The sequence below is a fragment of the Homo sapiens genome, chromosome X, assembly GCF_000001405.40.
Source record: "Homo sapiens chromosome X, GRCh38.p14 Primary Assembly".
Lineage (NCBI taxonomy): Eukaryota > Metazoa > Chordata > Mammalia > Primates > Hominidae > Homo > Homo sapiens.
Genome location: NC_000023.11, coordinates 85,127,865 through 85,150,250, shown reverse-complemented (window position 1 = coordinate 85,150,250; position 22,386 = coordinate 85,127,865). Strand labels below are relative to the sequence as shown.

Here is a 22,386-nt window from a genome sequence, read left to right as displayed (position 1 = left end):
GGAGAGTGTATGTGTCGAGGAATTTATCCATTTCTTCTAGATTTTCTAGTTTATTTGCATAGAGGTGTTTTTAGTATTCTCTGATGGTAGTTTGTATTTCTGGGGGATCGGTGGTGATATCCCCTTTATCATTTTTTATTGCATCTATTTCATTCTTCTCTCTTTTCTTCTTTATTAGTCTTGCCAGCAGTCTATCAATTTTGTTGATCCTTTCAAAAAACCAGATCCTGGATTCATTAATTTTTTGAAGGGTTTTTTGTATTTCTATTTCTTTCAGTTCTGCTCTGATTTTAGTTATTTCTTGCCTTCTGCTAGCTTTTGAATGTGTTCGCTCTTGCTTTTCTAGTTCTTTTAATTGTGATGTTAGGGTGTCAATTTTAGATCTTTCCTGCTTTCTCTTGTGGGCATTTAGTGCTATAAATTTCCCTCTACATACTGCTTTGAATGTGTCCCAGAGATTCTGGTATGTTGTGTCTTTGTTCTCGTTGGTTTCAAAGAACATCTTTATTTCTGCCTTCATTTCGTTGTGTACCCAGTAGTCATTCAGGAGCAGGTTGTTCAGTTTCCATGTAGTTGAGTGGTTTTGAGTGAGTTTCTTAATCCTGAGTTCTAATTTGATTGCACTGTGGTCTGAGAGACAGTTTGTTATAATTTCTGTTCTTTTACATTTGCTGAGGAGAGCTTTACTTCCAACTATGTGGTCAATTTTGGAATAGGTGTGGTGTGTTGTTGAAAAAATGTATATTCTGTTGATTTGGGGTGAAGAGTTCTGTAGATGTATAATAGGTCCGCTTGATGCAGAGCTGAGTTCAATTCCTGGATATCCTTGTTAACTTTCTGTCTCATTGATCTGTCTAATGTTGACAGTGGGGTGTTAAAGTCTCCCATTATTATTGTATGGGAGTCTAAGACTCTTTGTAGGTCACTCAGGACTTGCTTTATGAATCTGGGTGCTCCTGTATTGGGTGCATATATATTTAGGATAGTTAGTTCTTCTTGTTGAATTGATCCCTTTACCATTATGTAATGGCCTTCTTTGTCTCTTTTGATCTTTGTTGGTTTAAAGTCTGTTTTATCAGAGACTAGGATTGCAACCTCTCCCTTTTTTGTTTTCCATTTGCTTGGTAGATCCTCCTCCATCCTTTTATTTTGAGCCTATGTGTGTCTCTGCACGTGAGATGGGTTTCCTGAATACAGCACACTGATGGGTCTTGACTCTTTATGCCATTTGCCAGTCTGTGTCTTTTCATTGGAGCATTTAGTCCATTTACATTTAAAGTTAATATTGTTATGTGTGAATTTGATCCTGTCATTATGATGTTAGCTGGTTATTTTGCTCGTTAGTTGATGCAGTTTCTTCCTAGTCTCGATGGCCTTTACAATTTGGCATGATTTTGCAGTGGCTGGTACCAGTTGTTCCTTTCCATGTTTAGTGCTTCCTTCAGGAGCTCTTTTAGGGCAGGCCTGGTGGTGACAAAATCACTCAGCATTTGCTTGTCTGTAAAGGACTTTATTTCTCCTTCACTTATGAAGCTTAGTTTGGCTGCATATGAAATTCTGGGTTGAAAATTCTTTTCTTTAAGAATGTTGAATATTGGCCTCCACTCTCTTCTGGCTTGTAGAGTTTTTGCCGAGAGATCCGCTGTTAGTCTGATGGGCTTCCCTTTGTGGGTAACCCGACCTTTCTCTCTGGCTGCCCTTAACATTTTTTCCTTCATTTCAACTTTGGTGAATCTGACAATTATGTGTCTTGGAGTTGCTCTTCTCGAGGAATATCTTTGTGGCATTCTCTGTATTTCCTGAATCTGAATGTTGGCCTGCCTTGCTAGATTGGGGAAGTTCTCCTGGATAATATCCTGCAGAGTGTTTTCCAACTTGGTTCCATTCTCCCCGTCACTTTCAGGTACACCACTCAGACGTAGATTTGGTCTTTTCACATAGTCCCATATTTCCTGGAGGCTTTGTTCATTTCTTTTTTCTCTAAACTTCCCTTCTGGCTTCCTTTCATTCATTTCATCTTCCATCACTGATACCCTTTCTTCCAGTTGATTGCATTGGCTCCTGAGGCTTCTGCATTCTTCACGTAGTTCTCGAGCCTTGGCTTTCAGCTCCATCAGCTCCTTTAAGCACTTCTCTGTATTGGTTATTCTAGTTATACATTCTTCTAAATTTTTTTCAAAGTTTTTAACTTCTTTGCCTTTGGTTTGAATTTCCTCCTGTAGCTTGGAGTAGTTTGATCGTCTGAAGCCTTCTTCTCTCAACTCATCAAAGTCATTCTCCGTCCAACTCTGTTCCATTGCTGGTGAGGATCTGCGTTCCTTTGAAGGAGGAGAGGTGCTCTGCTTTTTAGAGTTTCCAGTTTTTCTGCTCTGTTTTTTCCCCATCTTTGTGGTTTTAATCTACTTTTGGTCTTTGATGATGGTGATGTACAGATGGGTTTTTGGTGTGGATGTCCTTTCTGTTTGTTAGTTTCCCTTCTAACAGACAGGACCCTCAGCTGCAGGTCTGTTGGAGTTTGCTAGAGGTCCACTCCAGACCCTGTTTCCCTGGGTATCAGCAGCGGTGGCTGCAGAACAGCAGATTTTCGTGAATCGCGAATGCTCCTGTCTGATCGTTCCTCTGGAAGTTTTGTCTCAGAGGAGTACCTGGCTGTGTGAGGTGTCAGTCTGCCCCTACTGGGGGGTGCCTCCTAGTTAGGCTGCTCGGGGGTCAGGGGTCAGGGACCCACTTGAGGAGGCAGTCTGCCCATTCTCAGATCTCCAGCTGCATGCTGGGAGAACCACTGCTCTCTTCAAAGCTGTCAGACAGGGACATTTAAGTCTGCAGAGGTTACTGCTGTCTTTTTGTTTGTCTGTGCCCTGCCCCCAGAGGTGGAGCCTACAGAGTCAGGCAGGCCTCCTTGAGCTGTGGTGGGCTCCACCCAGTTGGAGCTTCCCAGCTGCTTTGTTTACCTAAGCAAGCCTGGGCAATGGCGGGCACCCCTCCCCCAGCCTTGCTGTCGCCTTTCAGTTTGATCTCAGACTGCTGTGCTAGCAATCAGCAAGACTCCGTGGGCGTAGGACCCTCTGAGCCAGGTGTGGGATATAATCTCCTGGTGTGCCATTTTTTAAGCCCGTCGGAAAAGCACAGTATTAGGGTGGGAGTGACCCGATTTTCCAGGTGCCGTCCATCACCCCTTTCTTTGACTAGGAAAGGGAACTACCTGACCCCTTGTGCTTCCCAAGTGAGGCAATGCCTCGCTCTGCTTTGGCTCTCGCACGGTGCGCTGCACCCACTGTCCTGCGCCCACTGTCTGGTACTCCCTAGTGAGATGAACCCGGTACCTCAGATGGAAATGCAGAAATCACCCATCTTCTGTGTCACTCATGCTGGGAGCTGTAGACCGGAGTTGTTCCTATTCGGCCATCTTGGTTGCCAGCCAGAAATGTCCATGTATTTATGGAGAGGGAGAATATGACTTTCCCAAATTCCCCAATGGGAGTGACTACTGGCAAGAATTGTTCATATAGTATCTTTAGAGAGTGCTTCATTGCCTCCTGCAGAATTTTTGTCAGGTTACCCCATCGAACAGTAAATGTCAGATCCTAAGTAAGGTACTCCTAGTATGTGTTATTCCAATAAACAGTAGTCCCCACTTATTCACAGGTGATAGATTCCAGGACTCCCAGTGGATACTTGAAATTGCAGATAGTACTGAACCCTATATGCACTATGATTTTTCCTATACATACATACCTATGATAAAGTTTATTTTTTTAAATTTTTAATTTTTGTGGGCACATAGGAGGTGTATGTATTTATAGAGTACATGAGCTATTCTGATACAGGAATGCAATCCATATTCATCATATCAGGGTAAATGGGGTGTCCATCACCTCAAGCATTTATCCTTTCTTTGTGTTACCAATAATCTAATTATACTCTTAATTATTTTTAAATGGACAATAAATTATCATTGGCTGTAGTCATCCTGTTAATTTATAAATTGGACATAGTAAGAGATTAACAAGAATAACAATTGGTAAAATAGAGTAATTATAAGAATATACTGTAGGCCGGGCACAGTGGCTCAGGCCTGTAATCCCAGCACTTTGGGAGGCCGAGGCAGGCAGATCACAAGGTCAGGAGAACGAGATCAGCCTGGCTAACACACAGTGAAACCCCATCTCTACTAAAAGTACAAAAAAATTGCCGGGCGTGGTGGCGGGCGCCTGTAGTCCCAACTGCTCAGGAGGCTGAGGCAGGAGAATGGTGTGAACCCGGGAGGCGGAGCTTGCAGTGAGCCGAGATCGTGCCACTGCACTCCAGCCCAGGCGACAGAGCGAGACTCTGTCTCAAAAAAAAAAAAAAAGAATATACTGTAATAAATGTTATGTGAATGTGGTCTCTTACAAAATATCTTACTGTATGTAGTATGTTCAGATCGTGGTACCACAGGTAACTGAAACCACAGAAAGTGAAACTGCAAATAAGGGGGACTACTATATTATGGCATACTGTCATAGCTGACATGAAAAGATCGGTTAGGTGATTACTATAATCTTTCATAGCTATGACTGTCTAGGATTCTGTAAGAAAATGTGTCTACCACATTTTGAAGCTGTCTACCAGCTTCAAATAGGTGGTACTCTACTTAAAAGGATGTGGCTTTTAATATGTAATACACTGTCATTTATTGGAGGCCAAAGTATATTTTTCAAATATATCTTATTCATACTCATAGATTTCTTCCTGGAAAAGGACTTTCACAAGAGTATATTTCTCATTTAGCCTAGGAATGAATCACAAAAAAATGGCCTATTATACAGTAATATTTCACTCATTCAACAAGATTTATTGGGCACCTAGTATGTGCCAAGTACTATTCCAGTTATTTGATAGGTAATCATGGTTAAAACAAAGATCTATGTTTTTAAATAGCTTACAATATACAAGAGAAAGACAGACATAAAAATAAGCATAATTAGTAAATTTGACAAGATGCACAGTACCCAAAGATAGGGTCAACATAAATACTGGGTTGCTAGGACATTTCCAGTTTATGCCTGTTGTCCCAGAATAATTATTAATAATGCTCTCTTCATTCCCAATGTGCACTAATTTAGACAGATAGATTAAATAGTCACTCTACTAGTAGGCCACTAAGGGTAGCAGGCAGCTCAGCCACATCTCTTGCTCTCTTTTTTATTTTATTTTATTTATTTTATTTTTTTTTGAGACAGGGCCTAGCTCTGTCACCCAGGCTGGATTGCAATGGTGCAATCACGGCTCATGCAGCATCTACCTCCCAGACTCAAGTAATCCTCCCACTTCAGCCCCCCAAGTACCTGGGATTATAGTTGTGCACCACCACACTTGGCTCTTTTATTTTTATTATTTTATATTTTGAAGAGACTGGGTCTCACTGTGTTGCCCAGGCTGGTCTTGAACTTCTGAGCTCAAGAGACCCAGCCGTCTCAGCCTCCTGAGTAGCTGGGATTACAGGCATATGCCACTGCACCCAGACAGCCCCAACTCTTAATGATGTTTTGATAATTTCAAGAAAACTGTGGAGAGTCATTTTGCCCAGGATATAGCTGCAGTGTCTCCTCCCTGATCTGAACTGAGAAAAAGTTTTCTAAAGTCTGAAACTCAGTAGGAACCTTTCTTACGAGTCAAGTCACAGGACCTATAAACATGCACAGAAACTGCAATTCCAAGAAAAGGAAAACTATTTTAACCTTCCTCCAGCCTAAACACAAAGAAGAGATTCCATGGAGTCAGAGTTCAGATTGTCTGAATCCCAGGTCTCTGAGTATCCGAGTATGTTTGGGGATGGAGGTGATAGGCAAGAAGGGGAAGCTTCTTTGATGAGATTAGGTACATAGAATCCAAAAGGAAGCTGTTTGCCCTTTGTAGAGCGTATTTTTTTCCTAATGTAAAATATGACACACTGATTCTACTACATAAACATATTGCTAAAAGGAGTGAAAAGGCAACATCAGAAAATATAACACAGTTTTTAGGTAAAAACATAGTACAGTACTTTAAAAGTTTGACTTACACCTTTAAATATGGAAACAACTTCACTGGGCCAAAATGCTCCACTGAACATTCAACTACCCAACATTCCAAAAGTGCCCACCAGAATTACTATGTCAAATGGTGCTGTTTAGAGAAATTTAAGTCACATCTGTTTTCAATAGCCAATATTTAGAAAAAAAAAGTTGTACTTCTTGGCTTGGCAAAGATTTTATGCTGTTTCATAGACAGGTATGATTATACCACTTATTTCTTTGGCCATTTCTTTCCTTTTACATGGATTCGCATGGTTTTTATTATATCATGTAAGTACATATTTGTATTGAATACATTGCCGATTGAAAATTTTCTTAAAAATCTGGTACAACATTTATATATTCTAAGAAACAGTGTTAAATATAAGTAGCCTAAAACAATTACTAATATTGACACAAGTAAAAATTTTAGTTACTGGTCCATAGAATTTTTCATATTTATCTCAGAGATCAGAGACAAACATGTTATCTTTAAGAGGAAATAATTATTTATCTCTTCTAAAAATAATCACCTTTTAAAAAAACAGATACTTTCAGGTTTGTGAATTTTAAACAACAGAACCTTTGCTTGTAATACTGTCTAGTTCCTTAGCCTTAGATACTACAAAGCATTGATTCCCTCTCTAATTAAAGCATAATTAATTATTTATACCTTTAACCTATAGAAATAAAGCAACTAAAATTTTTCTTACGTTATTCACAACGTACAGTCAGAAAACACCAAGAGATGAACAGAATTCAAGACAGTATAAACAAGCGATCCACCATCATGAGAGTAAGATAGAAGAAGGCAGTCTTGACAACTACATTTAAAGACTGCTGCAATTAGGAGAGGCAATCAGCAGAGATTGTGAATGGTTTATATAGGAGATAAGGGACCATGGATTTTGAACTTGTTCTTTACAGCATGTATAAATTACCAGTTAACTTTTTGGTTGTACACTTGTCAGATCCCCATATCTATACTTCCTGTATATGGAACATGCACGAATTGTGTATGAGTTGTATACCACTTGAGTTCAGTCATAGCCATTTATTATTTCCAAGAACTATTTGTTCATCTTTGTACTAAGGTTCATGTTTTATTATTTGCCAAAGTTAAACCTTTGCTTGAAACATATTGCTACTAATACATTTTCCAACCCTGCTCATAACCAGAGATCTCTGACCTTACAGCCACCAAGAGTGCTGAACAATCATCTGAGGACATCATTGGGTATCACTGGCAAAGAGAAGAGATGAAGAAAAGATAAGAGAAAGAAATGAAAGTGGAAGAGGGCAGAAAAAGATAAACAAAAGTTAGGAGAGTTTTCAGGAGGAGAAAATAAAGAGAAGACAGAGAAGGAAGTATCTGGTAAGGAAACAAATACAGATGTAATCCAGTTGGGATACCAGGCTTTCATTAGGATATTTTCTCTCTTTTTCTCCTTAGATCCACATTTGTCAGGACGCCAATTCACCTAATCATATCTGCCATATATTTTCCATCTAAGTCACCTTGACAAGCTATCATTAACCTTGTAGCCCATGTGTGTCTCAGAATCCACTCTTCTCCCCACCTACTGGCATGTGTATTTATTTTTATGTAAGTATTTCTGCTGGAATGTATCTATTATTGTACTTTATTCACCATTCTTCCTTTCTTGCCACTAATAAAATTGCAGTTTCATGAGAGCTTCAGGTTGAACTTTCATGCCACCTGTTAATACAGATAATTTTTTATCTACCCAGCTTACCTTGACCTGGTATAATTTGTTTGCTTTCAACAACTCTACTTCAATTTTTTTTTTTTTTTTTTTGAGATGGAGTCTCGCTCTGTCACCCAGGCTGGAGTGCAGTGGTGTGATCTCGGCTCACTGCAAACTCTTCCTCCCGGGTTCACGCCATTCTCCTGCCTCAGCCTCCTGAGTAGCTGGGACTACAGGTGCCCGCCACCACGCCTGGCTAATTTTTTGTATTTTTAGTAGAGACGGGGTTTCATCGTGTTAGCCAGGATGGTCTCGATCTCCTAACCTCGTGTTCCACCCGCCTCAGCCTCCCAAAGTGCTGGGATTACAGGCGTGAGCCACCGTGACCGGCCTCTACTTCAATTTCTAAAAAATGATCTCCTTGTTTTATAATATCATAGCAATAAAGTATGTACTTAATATTATTAGGTTGGTGCCAAAGTAATTGCAGTTTTTGCAATTATTTTTAATGGCAAAACAGCAATTACTTTGGCACCAACCTAATATTAGTACAATATTATGAAAATATACATGCACATTTTTGGAAAACAGGCATTTTTGTTTATTTGTTTTCATTATGGTAAGAGACAAATAATTATTTGAGTTTTTAGTAAGAAATAAGATACAAAAGGTTATAAATCATAGATAGACTCTAATTCTTTATCTAAGCTCCACATGAATTCCCTCTACAAAAATCCATTGGTTTTTGACAGGAGGCTGAGTATCTCTTGATTCAGAATTTATATGTTATTATTGTAATTATTATTGTTGTTATTGTAAACTGAAGCACTCTACTTAAACATTTTGGTGATATGTGTTTCAAACCTTCTGGAAACAACCAGCTCTGTCAGAAATATACTTCTTTCTATTAAACCAAATTCTATTTTCCTGAAACTTCCAGCCAATATGGAGCAAATTCACTGTGACACACTTAGAAAGTCCTACCATATGGTGAGACTTCAGAAATACAGTAGCATCAAGACTATCAGACTGACAAGTCATAGGAAGGCAACATTTCAGCTTACACATCCAATATACTATGGGTGTAGTTAATATTGCCTTTCTTCATCTATATCCTTTCTAAGACATTAAGGTTAGCTGTAAATTATCTATGTGAAGCACATAATGGTGGTTACCTATCTAACAACATATTGCCCAATAAACACCTTTCTTCTCCCAACAGAGGCTGGGAGTGTTAATTACTGTTATCTCAGCCTGTCTTGCAGCTAGGAGTGGCCACATGGAACAATTCTAGCCAATGAGACATAAGGGGAAGTTTGCTGGGGTTTCTCAGAAAGTTTCTTCAGTAAAAAAGGAAAGGGCAGCCTTCCCTTGCAGCCCCTTTCTGCCTGCTTTGCATACAGCTGTGTCATGATGTGATGCTTGGAATGGCTGCAGTCATCTTGCAACTCTGAGAAGAATCATCCCAATAAACTGGAGGTTCCAGAGCGGAAAGATGGGGAAAAAAATAGGGTCCTTGATAACCTCAGTGAACTAATGAATCAAGCCTGGGACTGCCTAACTTAAGACTTCTTGTTATGTGAGATTTATTAATAAATCTTTGCTGTTTAAAATATGTTTAGTTGGGTGTTCTCTTACTTGCAGCCAAAAGTATTCTGACAAACCATGTTAATTAAAGGGACAATAATATGGAACAACCAAAATGCCTTTGAAAAAAATTCTAGGGATATAACGTAAATATTCTGTATTGTACACATTGGGAACAGTAGCTAGCAACCTGTTAATCTGATGCATGAAACAGGACACAATTAAATCCAAGAAGGTTAACAATGGATTCTAAATTTTGAATTGATTGTATAAGGGGGAATTCAGTGTGGACTGCAATTAAAGTATAATCAGATATAATAGATAAGTGTATTTAAATAATTCATTAAAACTAATCTTATAATAACAAGAGTCCATCCAGATGAACTAGGATATATTTGTCTGATCTACATATGGCCAAACATATTTCAAAGGGAGAAAAAAATTACCTTAATTCTGCCACTTGCTAACTGTGTGGCCTTGGGAAGGTTACCTAATCTCTCTGTGCTTCAGTTTCCTCTTTTGAAAAGTAGAAATTAAAATATAATACCACCCTCTTAGGGTTGTTATGGGGATTAGACAAGTAAAACATTTACCTGGCACATAGTAAGTGCTCAGTAAGTGTGGTTACTATTATTATTTATTATTTTATCACATAAACATAGTTCAAATAAAAACTCAGAACAAAATGTGGTCATTTAGGTGAGCAGGACATGACACAATTTTAGCTTTCATCCTTGAATGAGTTGGAAAAAATCAGGCAAGAAATGTGTAGATTGTTAATGGAAGTAGGGGTTAATTTAAAAGTATTAGATTGGTTCAAATGTAATTGCTGTTTTTGCCATTAATATACCAATCTAATAGTTTGGATTTCAGTTCAAAAACATAACAAGCTAATAGCAGTTACATTTAGGAGGATAGTGACTGAGAGTTGGCAAGAAGGGGACACTGGGGTGCTAATAATGTTCTGGTTCTTGATCTAGGTACTAGTTACATGGGCTTGCTCACTGTGTGAAGATTTATCTAACTGTGCATTTATGATACTTTTCTGAATGTAATACTTTAGTAAAAATATTTTTAAAAGGCAGGTTGGGGTGTTCATAGAAATAGTGTAAATCTACTGTAAAATAAAGTCAGATTCTTATCTTGAAAAAGGCATAGTATACTTTACCTGTTTATGGACAAAGACAAATTCATAAATAATGAGCCATAAGAAAATGAGATTAATCTGAGGGCTCTTTCTGAGATTTACGAAGATTTCTCAGGACAGTGTAATGAGGAACTAAGCTTGTGTTCCTCTCTTCAGAGACTGAACTAAGCTCAGTGAACCTTGACATTATCATCATGGCCTTAAATGAATTCTTGCTCAGAAAAGGAAAAGATTTATGGTAGGGTTAAGTATGTAGACTCCAGAGCCCAAGACTTTGGGTTCATATCTCTTGACTCCCCCATTTACTAGCTGTATATTTCAGTTTCTCCATCTGTAAAATGAGAATAACAGAGCATGTACCTCAGTGGGTTACTGTGATAATAATATGAGTTCTATATATCAACTCATATTTTTATCACAATAACCCAATGAGGTTGTGTATAGATATGTACCCAATTTACGTATATGATAAATACATATACATATATACATGTGTGTATTTACCACAGTGCTTGGCACATAGATGCTATAAAAGTATTAGCTGTTATTATAGATTCTAGGCTCCTCTCCATTTAAATACTTTATCCCAAATGTTGAGGGACTCTGGTAGGATTAAGGCTCCATCCTGGCCTCCAAATTGTGATTTATTGAAGTGAAAGTCTCCTTATGATGGTGGTCAGCAAACGGCTAGAAAATTCTGCATAGAACAGTAGAAACAGATTCACATGAATCAGGCAAGCCAAAGATCATTTGAACATTTGTACTGAAAGGAATAATAGTAAAAAAGTAATAATAATATTTTCAATGATAATAATAACTTGTACATTGGCTCCCATCTCATTTCTTCTTGCCTACTTAAGGACTTTGCTGCAGAAAATCTTCATTTCTCTCCTGCATTAGAATTTTCAGCTTTCCATTGGATCATTCTCATCAATAAATATGCTCTGATTTCCTTAATCTCCAAAACAAAAAATATTTGCCCCATATCTTCCTTCAGCTATTTTTCTTTTCTCTACTCCCATTCACAGCAAAACTCCTCAAAAGAAATGCTGTTTCCAATATTTCTTCCCTATTCTATCTTGAACCCACTTCAGTCAAACTTTTTCGTTACCAATCTGCTCCTGTTATGCAAAGAAATAAAAGCCCAGATTAATTTAGCTGGAGCAGAAACCACTGGAGTCAATAACTGGTAGGAACACCTAAATGGTGATTGACAAATTGCTATAAGCTGAGAATGGACCTGCTTGGGAGTTAAAAACAAAAACAAAAACAAAAAAAACTCCCGAGTCACATTCTTAGGGGGACTCTCACACTTTCAATACCTTACTACCAAATCAACAGGGCTGCAGTATAATAATAGTGGATCACAACTGTGAGAGCTGCAAGACTCAGACTCTATTTAAGGAGGCTCCAGGAAAACTCCCAACAGGGGAGACAAAACCAAGGTCACTAGGGAAAATTTTAGTTGTCGGTACCACAACTACAGCAGACACTAAGCACCTAACTCCTAGCCAGATAAACATAAAACCTCACACTCCTTTTATCTGATACATCATGTAAAAAATTACAAAGCATGCCAAAAGGCAGGGAAAATAGTCTGAAGAGACAAAGCACCAGAACCAGACTCAAATGTGGCAGAGACTTTGGAATTTTCAGACAGGAAATTTAAAATAAGCATGATTAATATGCTAAAGATTTTAATGGAAAAAGTGGACAATATACAGGAATAGATAGGTAATGTTAGCAGAGAGATGGAAACCCTAAGAAAGAATCAAAATGAAATGCTAGAAATCAAAACACTGTGACAGAAGTGAAGAATGTTTTTGATGCGCTTATTAGTAGACTGAACATGGCTGAGGAAAGAATCTGAGCTGAAAAATATCTCAGTAGAAACTTCCCAAACTGAAATGCAAAGAGAAAAAAAGAATTAAAAAAGTAGAATACCTAAGAACTGTCGGACAATTAAAAAGCTATGACATATGCATAATGGGAATACCAGAAGGAGAAGAAAGAAAGAAAAGAACAGAAGAAATATTTGAAGTGATAATGGCTGATAATTTTCTGAAGTTAATAGCAGACACCAAACCACAGATCCAGGAATCTCAGAGAATACTAAGCAGGATAAATACCAAAAACGCTATACCTAGATATATAATTTAAACTGCTGAAAATCAAAGACAAAGAGAAAATCTTGAAAGAAGCCAGAGTGGGGTAGAGGTGGGGTGGAGTGGAGTGGGAAAAGCTATTACAGTAATCAAAGAGAGACGGTGATAGTTCAAACTAGGGTGGTGGCAGTGTAGGTGGAGAAAAGTGGCTGGATTTGGGGTATATTTTGAAGATAAAGTTGTAGAATTTCCTGATGGATTGGAAATGGGATATAAGAATAGAGATGAAGAGCATGAAATATTCATTGCCCCCTAGCATCACTTTATCTTAGTCATCTCTTTCAATTATTACGTTCACCTACTATTTCAGACTTTCACTACTCCAAATAAAAATTTTCATGGGGTAAAATTGGGGTTATGATGTAAGAACTGTTCCACTCCCTGGTCCTTACCATTCAGCCCCCAACTATAAACTTCTCTGCATTGGCGTTCATCCTTAACTCTTCCATTCCCATCTCAATGGAAGAGGTGTTTCCCAATCCTAACGAATCCCATTCTTCCATATGTGTTCCTGAGCCCACGCTTTTCTGCCTCTTTGTGGTTCCTTTTCCATCGATTATTCCCCTCTTTTCTGAATCCTCAACCTCTTCCTTTCTGTTGGCTCCTTCCCAGTAGTATTTAAACATGTTCAAGTATTTTCAGTGACAGAGCGACAGACAGAGATGGGGAGAGGGGAGAGTTATCACTATTTATTGCCTTTTCTTTATAGCACAGCCTGTTGGAAGAGTAATAATCACTCATTGCCTATGCTCACTTATTTTTGCTGAAAATCTTTTAATAAATGCTACAGGGAGAAATTATATATAATGAGAAGGCAGGTACACTTTACTATTTGCTATGAGCTCCCAAAAGAAAATATTTGTGGGGCTACCAAAGAAAATGTCCTTGGGCTTCCTCACTTCTTACTACTCCTCAGCCTACTGCATTTTTATTCCATTCCCTTCAGGCCACTGAAATTGAAACTGTATACACCAAGGTTATATATAACTTACTAGTTGCTAAATCCAGCAGGCACTTTTCCAACCTGATCTTCTGTGAACATTTGCAGCCTTTGACACTGGTGACAACTCCCTTCTGGAAACTCTCTGCTCCCTTAGATTCTGTGACATTACTGTCTTCCAGACTTTCCCCATACCTCTATAGACAATATTTTCAGTCTTCTTCAGGTGCTCTTCTTCTTCCATTTATTCCATAAACATTGGGACTTCTTAGGATTATATCATTGGGGTTCTGATCTAAGTTTTTGTACTCTTTGTTGAGTAATCTCACTGTGATTATGTCTTCATCTATACTCTATAAAAATATTCTCAAATCTATCTCCAGTGTAGATATCCAACTGCTTAATGAACATCTCTGCTTGGAAATTTCAAAGACACCTAAAATTTTATATGACTGAAGCTGAACTCATAATCTTGTCTCCCTATCTATTCTTTCTCCTATATGCCATGTTTCATTAAATTGCACTCTCAACTATTCATGAAAGCCCAAAATCCAGGGGTCTTCCTCTGCCCTACGATCCCCCTCATCCTCACATGTATTAATAGTTGGTCACCAACTCTCCTCACTTCTACCTCCTAAATAACTCTTGAATTGTGTCCTTTTTCTTCCCTACCTCTACTGCTTTATTTCAGGAACTCATTATTATTATTGCTATAATTTACCTAGATTAAAACAACAACTCCTAACCGGTTTTGGCTCTTTCCTTTTTTCATTAGATTTATCTCTCTAGGCTGGGCACAGTAGCTCATGCCTATAATCCTAGCATTTTGCTAGGCCAAGGCAGATGGAACGCTTGAGCTCAGGAGTTTGAGACCAGCCTGAGCAACATGGTGAAACCCCATCTCTATGAAAAGTACAAAAAAATTACTCGAGCACGGTGGTGAGTGCCTATAGTCTCAGCTACTTCAGGTGCGGGGGTTGAGGGGGGAGGATCGCTTGAGTCTGGGAGGTCGAGGCAGTAGTGAGCCGAGATCATGCCACTGCACTCCAGCCTGGGTGACAGAGTGAGGCCCTGTCTCACACACACACACACAAGATTTATCTCACTCTTTTTTTTTTAATGAAAGCAAATGCATTTTATTTTATAAGTAACAAAATATAATTTATAATTAAATGCAGTACTTCTCAGAACCAAGGAGAGTGAATCAAGTATTGATTTTTGTTGTAATTTTCCCAACAAAATTGTAAGGCAGTATAACACACCCATTATTTCACATTTCACTTCTGCAGCACAAGACTATCACTTAGAAAATATTTGAAGTTTTTTTTTCTTCAACTTTTAAGTTCCGGGGTACATGTGCAGGATGTGCAGGTTTGTTACATAGGTAAACATGTGCCATGGTTGTTTGCTTCACAGATCAACCCATCAGCCAGGAATTAAGCCCAGCATTCATTAGCTATTCTTCCTGGTGCTCTCCCTACCCCCGTCCCCCACCGACAGGCCCCAGTGTGTGTTGTTTCCTGCCATGTGTCCATGTGCTCTCATTGTTCAGCTCCCACTTGTAAGTGAGAACATGCAGCATTTGGTTTTCTCTTCCTGCATTAGTTTGCTGAGGATAACAGCTCCCAGCTCCATCCATGTCCCTGCAAAGGACATGATCTTGTTCTTTTTTGTGGCTGCATAGTATTCCATGGGTTATCTCTCTAAAAGATAAAACTTATCATGTCACTGTTACTTTTAAATTATTTTGATGATTCTCAGTTGCCTTCAGGATAAATCCAAACATTTTAGCATGGCATACCAAGTCCTTTCAAGATCTAGCTACCACCTACCTCTTCAGCTTTATCTGTTGCTACTCCTTCCTCATACTCTAAGCATTGAAAACCTTACAGACCCCTGGCATCCTCCTCGCATTTTGTTATCTTCAGACTTTCATAAAAGCTTCTTTTACTACCTGGAATACATACCATTCTCATTTAACATGAATAACTTCTATTTCCCAACTAAAACTCAGCTCAGGAAGCTTCTTCCAGGAAGCTTTACTTGATCTTTACTTTGAGATAGATATTCTTTCTGTTGCTCCTTTGGCACCCTCTGCATATCTCTAGCACAGCACTTACATTGACTTATATCTATATATAGGACTGCCTCTCCAACAATACTGAGACTCTTGAAAACAGAGATTTGTCTATTCATTTTCTTGTCTCCCTAGTGCCTAGCATTATACCTACCTGGCACATAGAAGGTAATCAAATTTTTTGAATGAATGGTTAAGTAAATGAGAGCTTCACCTCTACCTTCAATTTAATCTGCAAGGTTGTACATTCTCCTCCTTTCATACCTTCCCTTTCTCATGAGTCAGACATTTCTCATTTTAGGTTTAATGTCTCTTTTTAAATACTTCCATCTTGAAGCTTTCCATTAACAATAAACTTAATAGTATACACACACACAAACACACACACTATACACACACACACACTATACACACACACACACATATATATACATACACACATACATATATATTTGTAGATGCTTTATGTTATTATTGAAACACTCATTAATTAGGAGTTCACATATGCTTTTGAAGCTTTAATTCTGAGCAGGGAAGAAATGTTCTTCTTCCTGGTGCAAAATTCACTTATTTTCTTCAAGAGCACTCTAAAATGTGTATTTCTTTCAGTTTCTTTTTGAACAATGAAAAGAAAGAAATTTAATATTTTCTATGTAAAACAATGTGAATATAGCATTTTCTATATCATAATTGATAATTATATAAAACAGGAGACATTAAAATAATTTAATCAAGCAAAAGATTTATGTAAATTCTAAGTGGCAATATAAGGCAATAATATAAAATAATTCACTTCAGAGGATTGGTCCAAGATGGCCAAATAGGAACAGCTCTGGTCTGCAGTTCCCAGCATGATTGACACAGAAGACGGGTGATTTCTGCATTTCCAAATGAGGTACCTGGTTCATCTCATTGGGACTGGTCGGACAGTGGGTGCAGCCCACAGAAGGCAAGATGAAGCAGGGTGGGGCATTGCCTCAGCCGGGAGGCATGAGGGGTCAGGGGATTTCCCTTTCCTAGCCAAGGGAAGCTGTGACAGACTGTACTGGGAAAATCAGGACACTGCCACCTAAACACTGCGCTTTTCCAATGGTCTTAGCAAATGGCACACCAGGAGATTATATCCTGCGCATGGCTCAGCGGGTCCCACACCCATGGAGCCTTGCTCACTGCTAGTCCAAGATCGAACTGTGAGGTGGCAAGCCTGGCTGGGGGAGGGGTGTCCACCATTGCTGAGGCTTGAGTAGGTATACAAAGCGGACAGGAAGCTCGAACTGGGTGGAGCCCACCGCAGCTCAACGAGGCCCACCTGCCTCTGTAGACCCCACCTCTGGAGGCACGGCATAGCTGAACAAAAGGCAGCAGAAACTTCTGCCAACTTAAATGTCCTGTCTGACAGCTCTGAAGAGCGTAGTGGTTCTCCCAGCATGGTGTTTGAGCTCTGAGAATGGACAGACTGCCTCCTCAAGTGGGTCCCTGACCCTCATGTAGCCTAACTTGGAGACAACTCCCTGTAGGGGCCAACTGACACCTCATACAGCTGGGTGCCCCTCTGAGATGAAGCTTCCAGAGGAAGGATCAGGCAGCAATATTTGCTGTTCTGCAGCCTCTGCTGGTGACACCCAGGCAAACAGGGTCTGGAGTGGACCTCCAGCAAACTCCAACAGACCTGCAGCTGAGGGACCCGACTGTTAGAAGGAAAACTAACAAACAGAAAGGAATAGCATCAACATCAACAAAAAGGACATCCACACCAAAACTCCATCTGTAGGTCACCATCATCAAAGCGCAAACATAGATAAAACCACAAAGATGAGGAGAAACCAGAGCAGAAAAGCTGAAAACTCTAAAAACGAGAGTGCCCCTTCTCCTCCAAAGGATAGCAGCTCCATGCCAGCAACAGAACAAAGCTGGATGGAGAATGACTTTGACAAGTTGACAGAAGTAGGCTTCAGAAGGTCAGTAATAACAAACTTCTCTGAGCTAAAGGAGGACGTTTGAAACCATTGCAAGCAAGCTAAAAACCTTGAAAAAAGATTAGATGAATGGCTAACTAGAATAAACAGTGTAGAAAAGACCTTAAATGACCTGATGGAGCTGAAAATCACAGCATGAGAAATATGTGACACATGCACAAGCTTCAATAGCCAATTCAATCAAGAGGAAGAAAGGGTACCGGTGATTGAAGATCAAATTAATGAAATGAAGCGATAAGAGAAGTTTAGAAAAAAAAAGAGTAAAAAGAAATGAACAAAGCCTCCAAAAAATATGGGACTATTGAAAAGACCAAATCTACATTTGATTGGTGTACCTGAAAGTGACGAGGAGAATGGAACTAAGCTGGAAAACACTCTTCAGGATATTATCCAGGAGAACTTCCCCAACCTAGCAAGGCAGGCCAACATTCAAATTCAGGAAACACAAAGAATGCCACAAAGATACACCTCAAGAAGAGCAACTCCAAAACACATAATTGTCAGATACACCAAGGTTGAAATGAAGGAAAAAATGTCAAGGGCAGCCAGAGAGAAAAGTCAGGTTACCCACAAAGGGAAGCCTATCAGACTAACAGCAGATCTCTCGGTAGAAACCTTACAAGCCAGAAGAGACTGGGGGCCAGTATTCAGTATTCTTAAAGAAAAGAATTTTCAACCCAGAATTTCATATCCAGCCAAACTAAGCTTCATAAGTGAAGAAGAAATAAAATACTTTACAGACAAGCAAATGCTGAGAGATTTTGTCACCATCAGGCCTGCCTTACAAGAGCTCCTGAAGGAAGCACTAAACATGGAAAGGAACAACTGGTACCAGCCACTGCAAAAACATGCCAAATTGTAAAGACCATTGATGCTAGGAAAAAACTGCATCAACTAATGGGCAAAATAACCAGCTGACATCATAATGACAGGATCAAATTCACACATAACAATATTAACCTTAAATGTAAATGGGCTAAATGCTCCAATTAAAAGACACAGACTGGCAAATTGGATAAAGAGTCAATACCCTTCAGTGTGCTGTATTCAGGAGACCCATCTCACGTGCAGAGACACACATAGGCTCAAAATAAAAGGATGGAGGAAGATCTACCAAGCAAATGGAAAGAAAAAAAAAAGCAGAGGTTGCAATCCTAGTCTCTGATAAAAGAGACTTTAAACCAGCAAAGACCAAAAGAGACAAAGAAGGCCATTACATAATGGTAAAGGGATCAATTCAACAAGAAGAGCTAACTATCCTAAATATATATGTACCCAATACAGGAGCACCCAGATTCATAAAGCAAGTTCTTAGAGACTTACGAAGAGACTTAGACCCCCATACAATAATAGTAGAAGACTTTAACACCCCACTGTCAACATTAGACAGATCAACTAGACAAAAAGTTAACAAGGATATCCAGGAATTGAACTCAGCTCTGCACCAAGCAGACCGAATAGACATCTACAGAACTCTCTATCCCAAATCAACAAAATATACATTCTTCTCAGCACCACATCACACTTATTCCAAAATTGACCACATAGTTGGAAGTAAAGCACTCCTCAGCAAATGTAAAAGAAAAGGAATCACAACAAACTGTCTCTCAGACCACAGTGCAATCAAATTAGAACTCAGGATTAAGAAACTCAATCAAAACCGCACAACTACATGGAAACTGAACAACCTGCTCCTAAATGACTACTGGGTAAATAACAAAATGAAGGCAGAAATAAAGATGTTCTATGAAACCAATGAGAACAAAGACATAATGTAGCAGAATCTCTGGGACACATTTAAAGCAGTGTGTAGAGGGAAATTTACAGTACTAAATGCCCACAAGAGAAGGCAGGAAAGATCTAAAATTGACACCCTAACATTACAATTAAAAGAACTAGAGACGCAAGAGCAAACAAATTCAAAAGCTAGCAGAAGGCAAGAAATAACTAAGATCAGAGCAGAACAGAAGGAGATAGAGACACAAAAAAACCTTCAAAAAATCAATGAATCTAGGAGCTGGTTTTTTGAAAACATCAACAAAATTGATAGACTGCTAGCAAGACTAATAAAGAATAAAAGGGAGAAGAATCAAATAGATGCAATAAAAAATGATAAAGGAGATATCACCACCGATCCCACAGAAATACAAACTACCATCAGAGAATACTATAAACACCTCTATGCAAATACACTCGAAAATCTAGAAGAAATGGATAAATTCCTGGACACATACACTCTCCCAAGACTAAACCAGGAAGAAGGTGAATCTCTGAATAGACCAATAACAGGCTCTGAAATTGAGGTGATAATTAATAGCCTATTAACCAAAAAAAGTCCAGGACCAGATGGATTCACAGCCGAATTCTACCAGATGTACAAAGAGGAGCTGGCACCATTCCTTCTGAAACTATTCCAATCAATAGAAAAAGAGGGAATCCTCCTTAACTCATTTTATGAGGCCAGCATTATCCTGATTCCAAAGCCTGGCAGAGATACAACAAAAAAAGAGAATTTTAGATGAATATCCCTGATGAACATCGATGTGAAAATTCTCAATAAAATGCTGGCAAAACGAATTCAGCAGCACATCAAAAAGCTTATCCACCATGAACAAGTTGGCTTCAACCCTAGGATGCACGCCTGTTCAACATACACAAATAAATAAACATAATCCATCACATAAACAGAACCAAAGACAAAAACCACATGATTATCTCAATAGATGCAGAAAAGGCCTTTGACAAAATTCAACAGACCTTCATGCTAAAAACTCTCAATAAACTAGGTACTGATGGAACGCATCTCAAAATAATAAGAGCTATTTATGCCAAACGCACAGCTAATATCATACTGAATGGGCAAAAACTGGAAGCATTCCCTTTGAAAACTGGCACAAGAGAGGGATGCCCTCTCTCACGACTCCTATTCAACACAGTGTTGGAAGTTCTGGCCAGGGCAATCAGGCAAGAGAAAGAAATAAAGGATATTCAATTAGGAAAAGAGGAAGTCAAATTGTCCCTGTTTGCAGAAGACATGATTGTATATTTAAAAAACCCCATCGTCTCAGCCCAAAATCTCCTTAAGCTGAGAAGCAATTTCAGCAAAGTCTCAGGATACAAAATCACTGTGTAAAAATCACAAGCATTCTTATACACCAATAACAGACAAACAGAGAGCCAAATCATGAGTGAACTCCCATTCACAATTGCTACAAAGAGAATAAAATACCTAGGAATCCAACTTACAAGGGATGTGAAGGACCTCTTCAAGAGAACTACAAACCACTACTCAACAAAATAAAAGAGGACACAAACAAATGGAAGAACATTCCATGCTCATGGATAGGAACAGTCAATATCATGAAAATGGCCATTCTGCCCAAGGTAATTTATAGATTCAATGCCATCCCCATCAAGCTACCAATAACTTTCTTCACAGAATTGGAAAAAACTACTTTAAAGTTCATGTAGAACCAAAAAAGAGCCTGCATTGCCAAGAGAATCCTAAGCCAAAAGAGCAAAGCTGGAGGCATCACGCTACCTGACTTCAAGCTATACTACAAGGCTACAGTAACCAAAACAGCATGGCACTGGTACCAAAATAGAGAGATAGACCAATGGAACAGAACAGAGCCCTCAGAAATAACACCACACATCTACAACTATCTGATCTTTGACCAACCTGACAAAAATAAGAAATGGGGAAAGGATTCCCTTTTTAATAAATGGTGCTGGGAAAACTGGCTAGTCATATGTAGAAAGCTGAAACTGGATCCCTTCCTTACACCTTATACAAAAATTAATTCGAGATGGATTAAGGACTTAAATGTTAGACCTAAAACCATAAAAACCCTAGAAGAAAACCTAGGCAATACCATTCAGGCATAGGCATGGGCAAGGACTTCATGACTAAAACCCCAAAAGCAATGGCAACAAAAGCCGAAATAGACAAATGGGATCTAATGAAACTAAAGAGCTTCTGCACAGCAAAAGAAACTACCATCAGAGTGAACAGGCAATCTAAAGAATGGGAGAAAATTTTTGCAATCTACTCATCTGACAAAGGGCTAATATCCAGAATCTACAAAGAACTTAAACAAATTTACAAGAAAAAATCAAACAACCATATCAAAAAGTGGGTAAAGGATATGAACAGACACTTTTCAAAAGAAGACACTTATGCAGCCAACAGACACATGAAAAAATGCTCATCATCACTGGTCATCAGAGAAATGCAAATCAAAACCACAATGAGATACCATCTCACGCCAGTTAGAATGGTGATCATTAAAAAGTCAGGAAACAACAGGTGCTGGAGAGGATGTGGAGAAATAGGAAGGCTTTTACACTGTTGGTGGGAGTGTAAATTAGTTCAACCATTGTGGGAGACAGTGTGGCGATTCCTCAAGGATCTAGAACTAGAAATACCATTTGACCCAGCTATCCCATTACTGGGTATATACCCAAAGGATTATAAATCATGCTACTATAAAGACACATGCACACATATGTTTATTGTGGCACTATTCACAATAGCAAAGACTTGGAACCAACCCTAATGTCCATCAATGATAGACTGGATTAAGAAAACGTGGCACATATACACCATGGAATACTATGCAGCCATAAAAAAAGGATAAGTTCTTGTCCTTTGTAGCGCCATGGATGAAACTGGAAACCATAATTCTGAGCAGATTATCACAAGGACAGAAAACCGAACACTGCATGTTCTCACTCATAGGTGGGAATT

The 22,386-nt window shown here is 38.9% G+C and overlaps 1 protein-coding gene across 2 annotated transcripts in view; it reads left to right on the top strand.

Annotated features, from left to right (window-relative positions):
• Nucleotides 1-22,386, top strand: part of SATL1 (spermidine/spermine N1-acetyl transferase like 1) — a 151,496-nt gene that overhangs the window by 93,529 nt on the left and 35,581 nt on the right. Inside the window, exon 3 of one of the 2 annotated variants that reach the window (NM_001367858.2) lies at nt 7,233-7,410. The exons of the other annotated variant lie outside the window; for it this stretch is intronic. The gene's annotated coding sequence lies outside the window, so the exon portion shown is untranslated. The remainder of the gene's footprint in view (nt 1-7,232; nt 7,411-22,386) is intronic. 2 annotated transcript variants of the gene reach the window in all.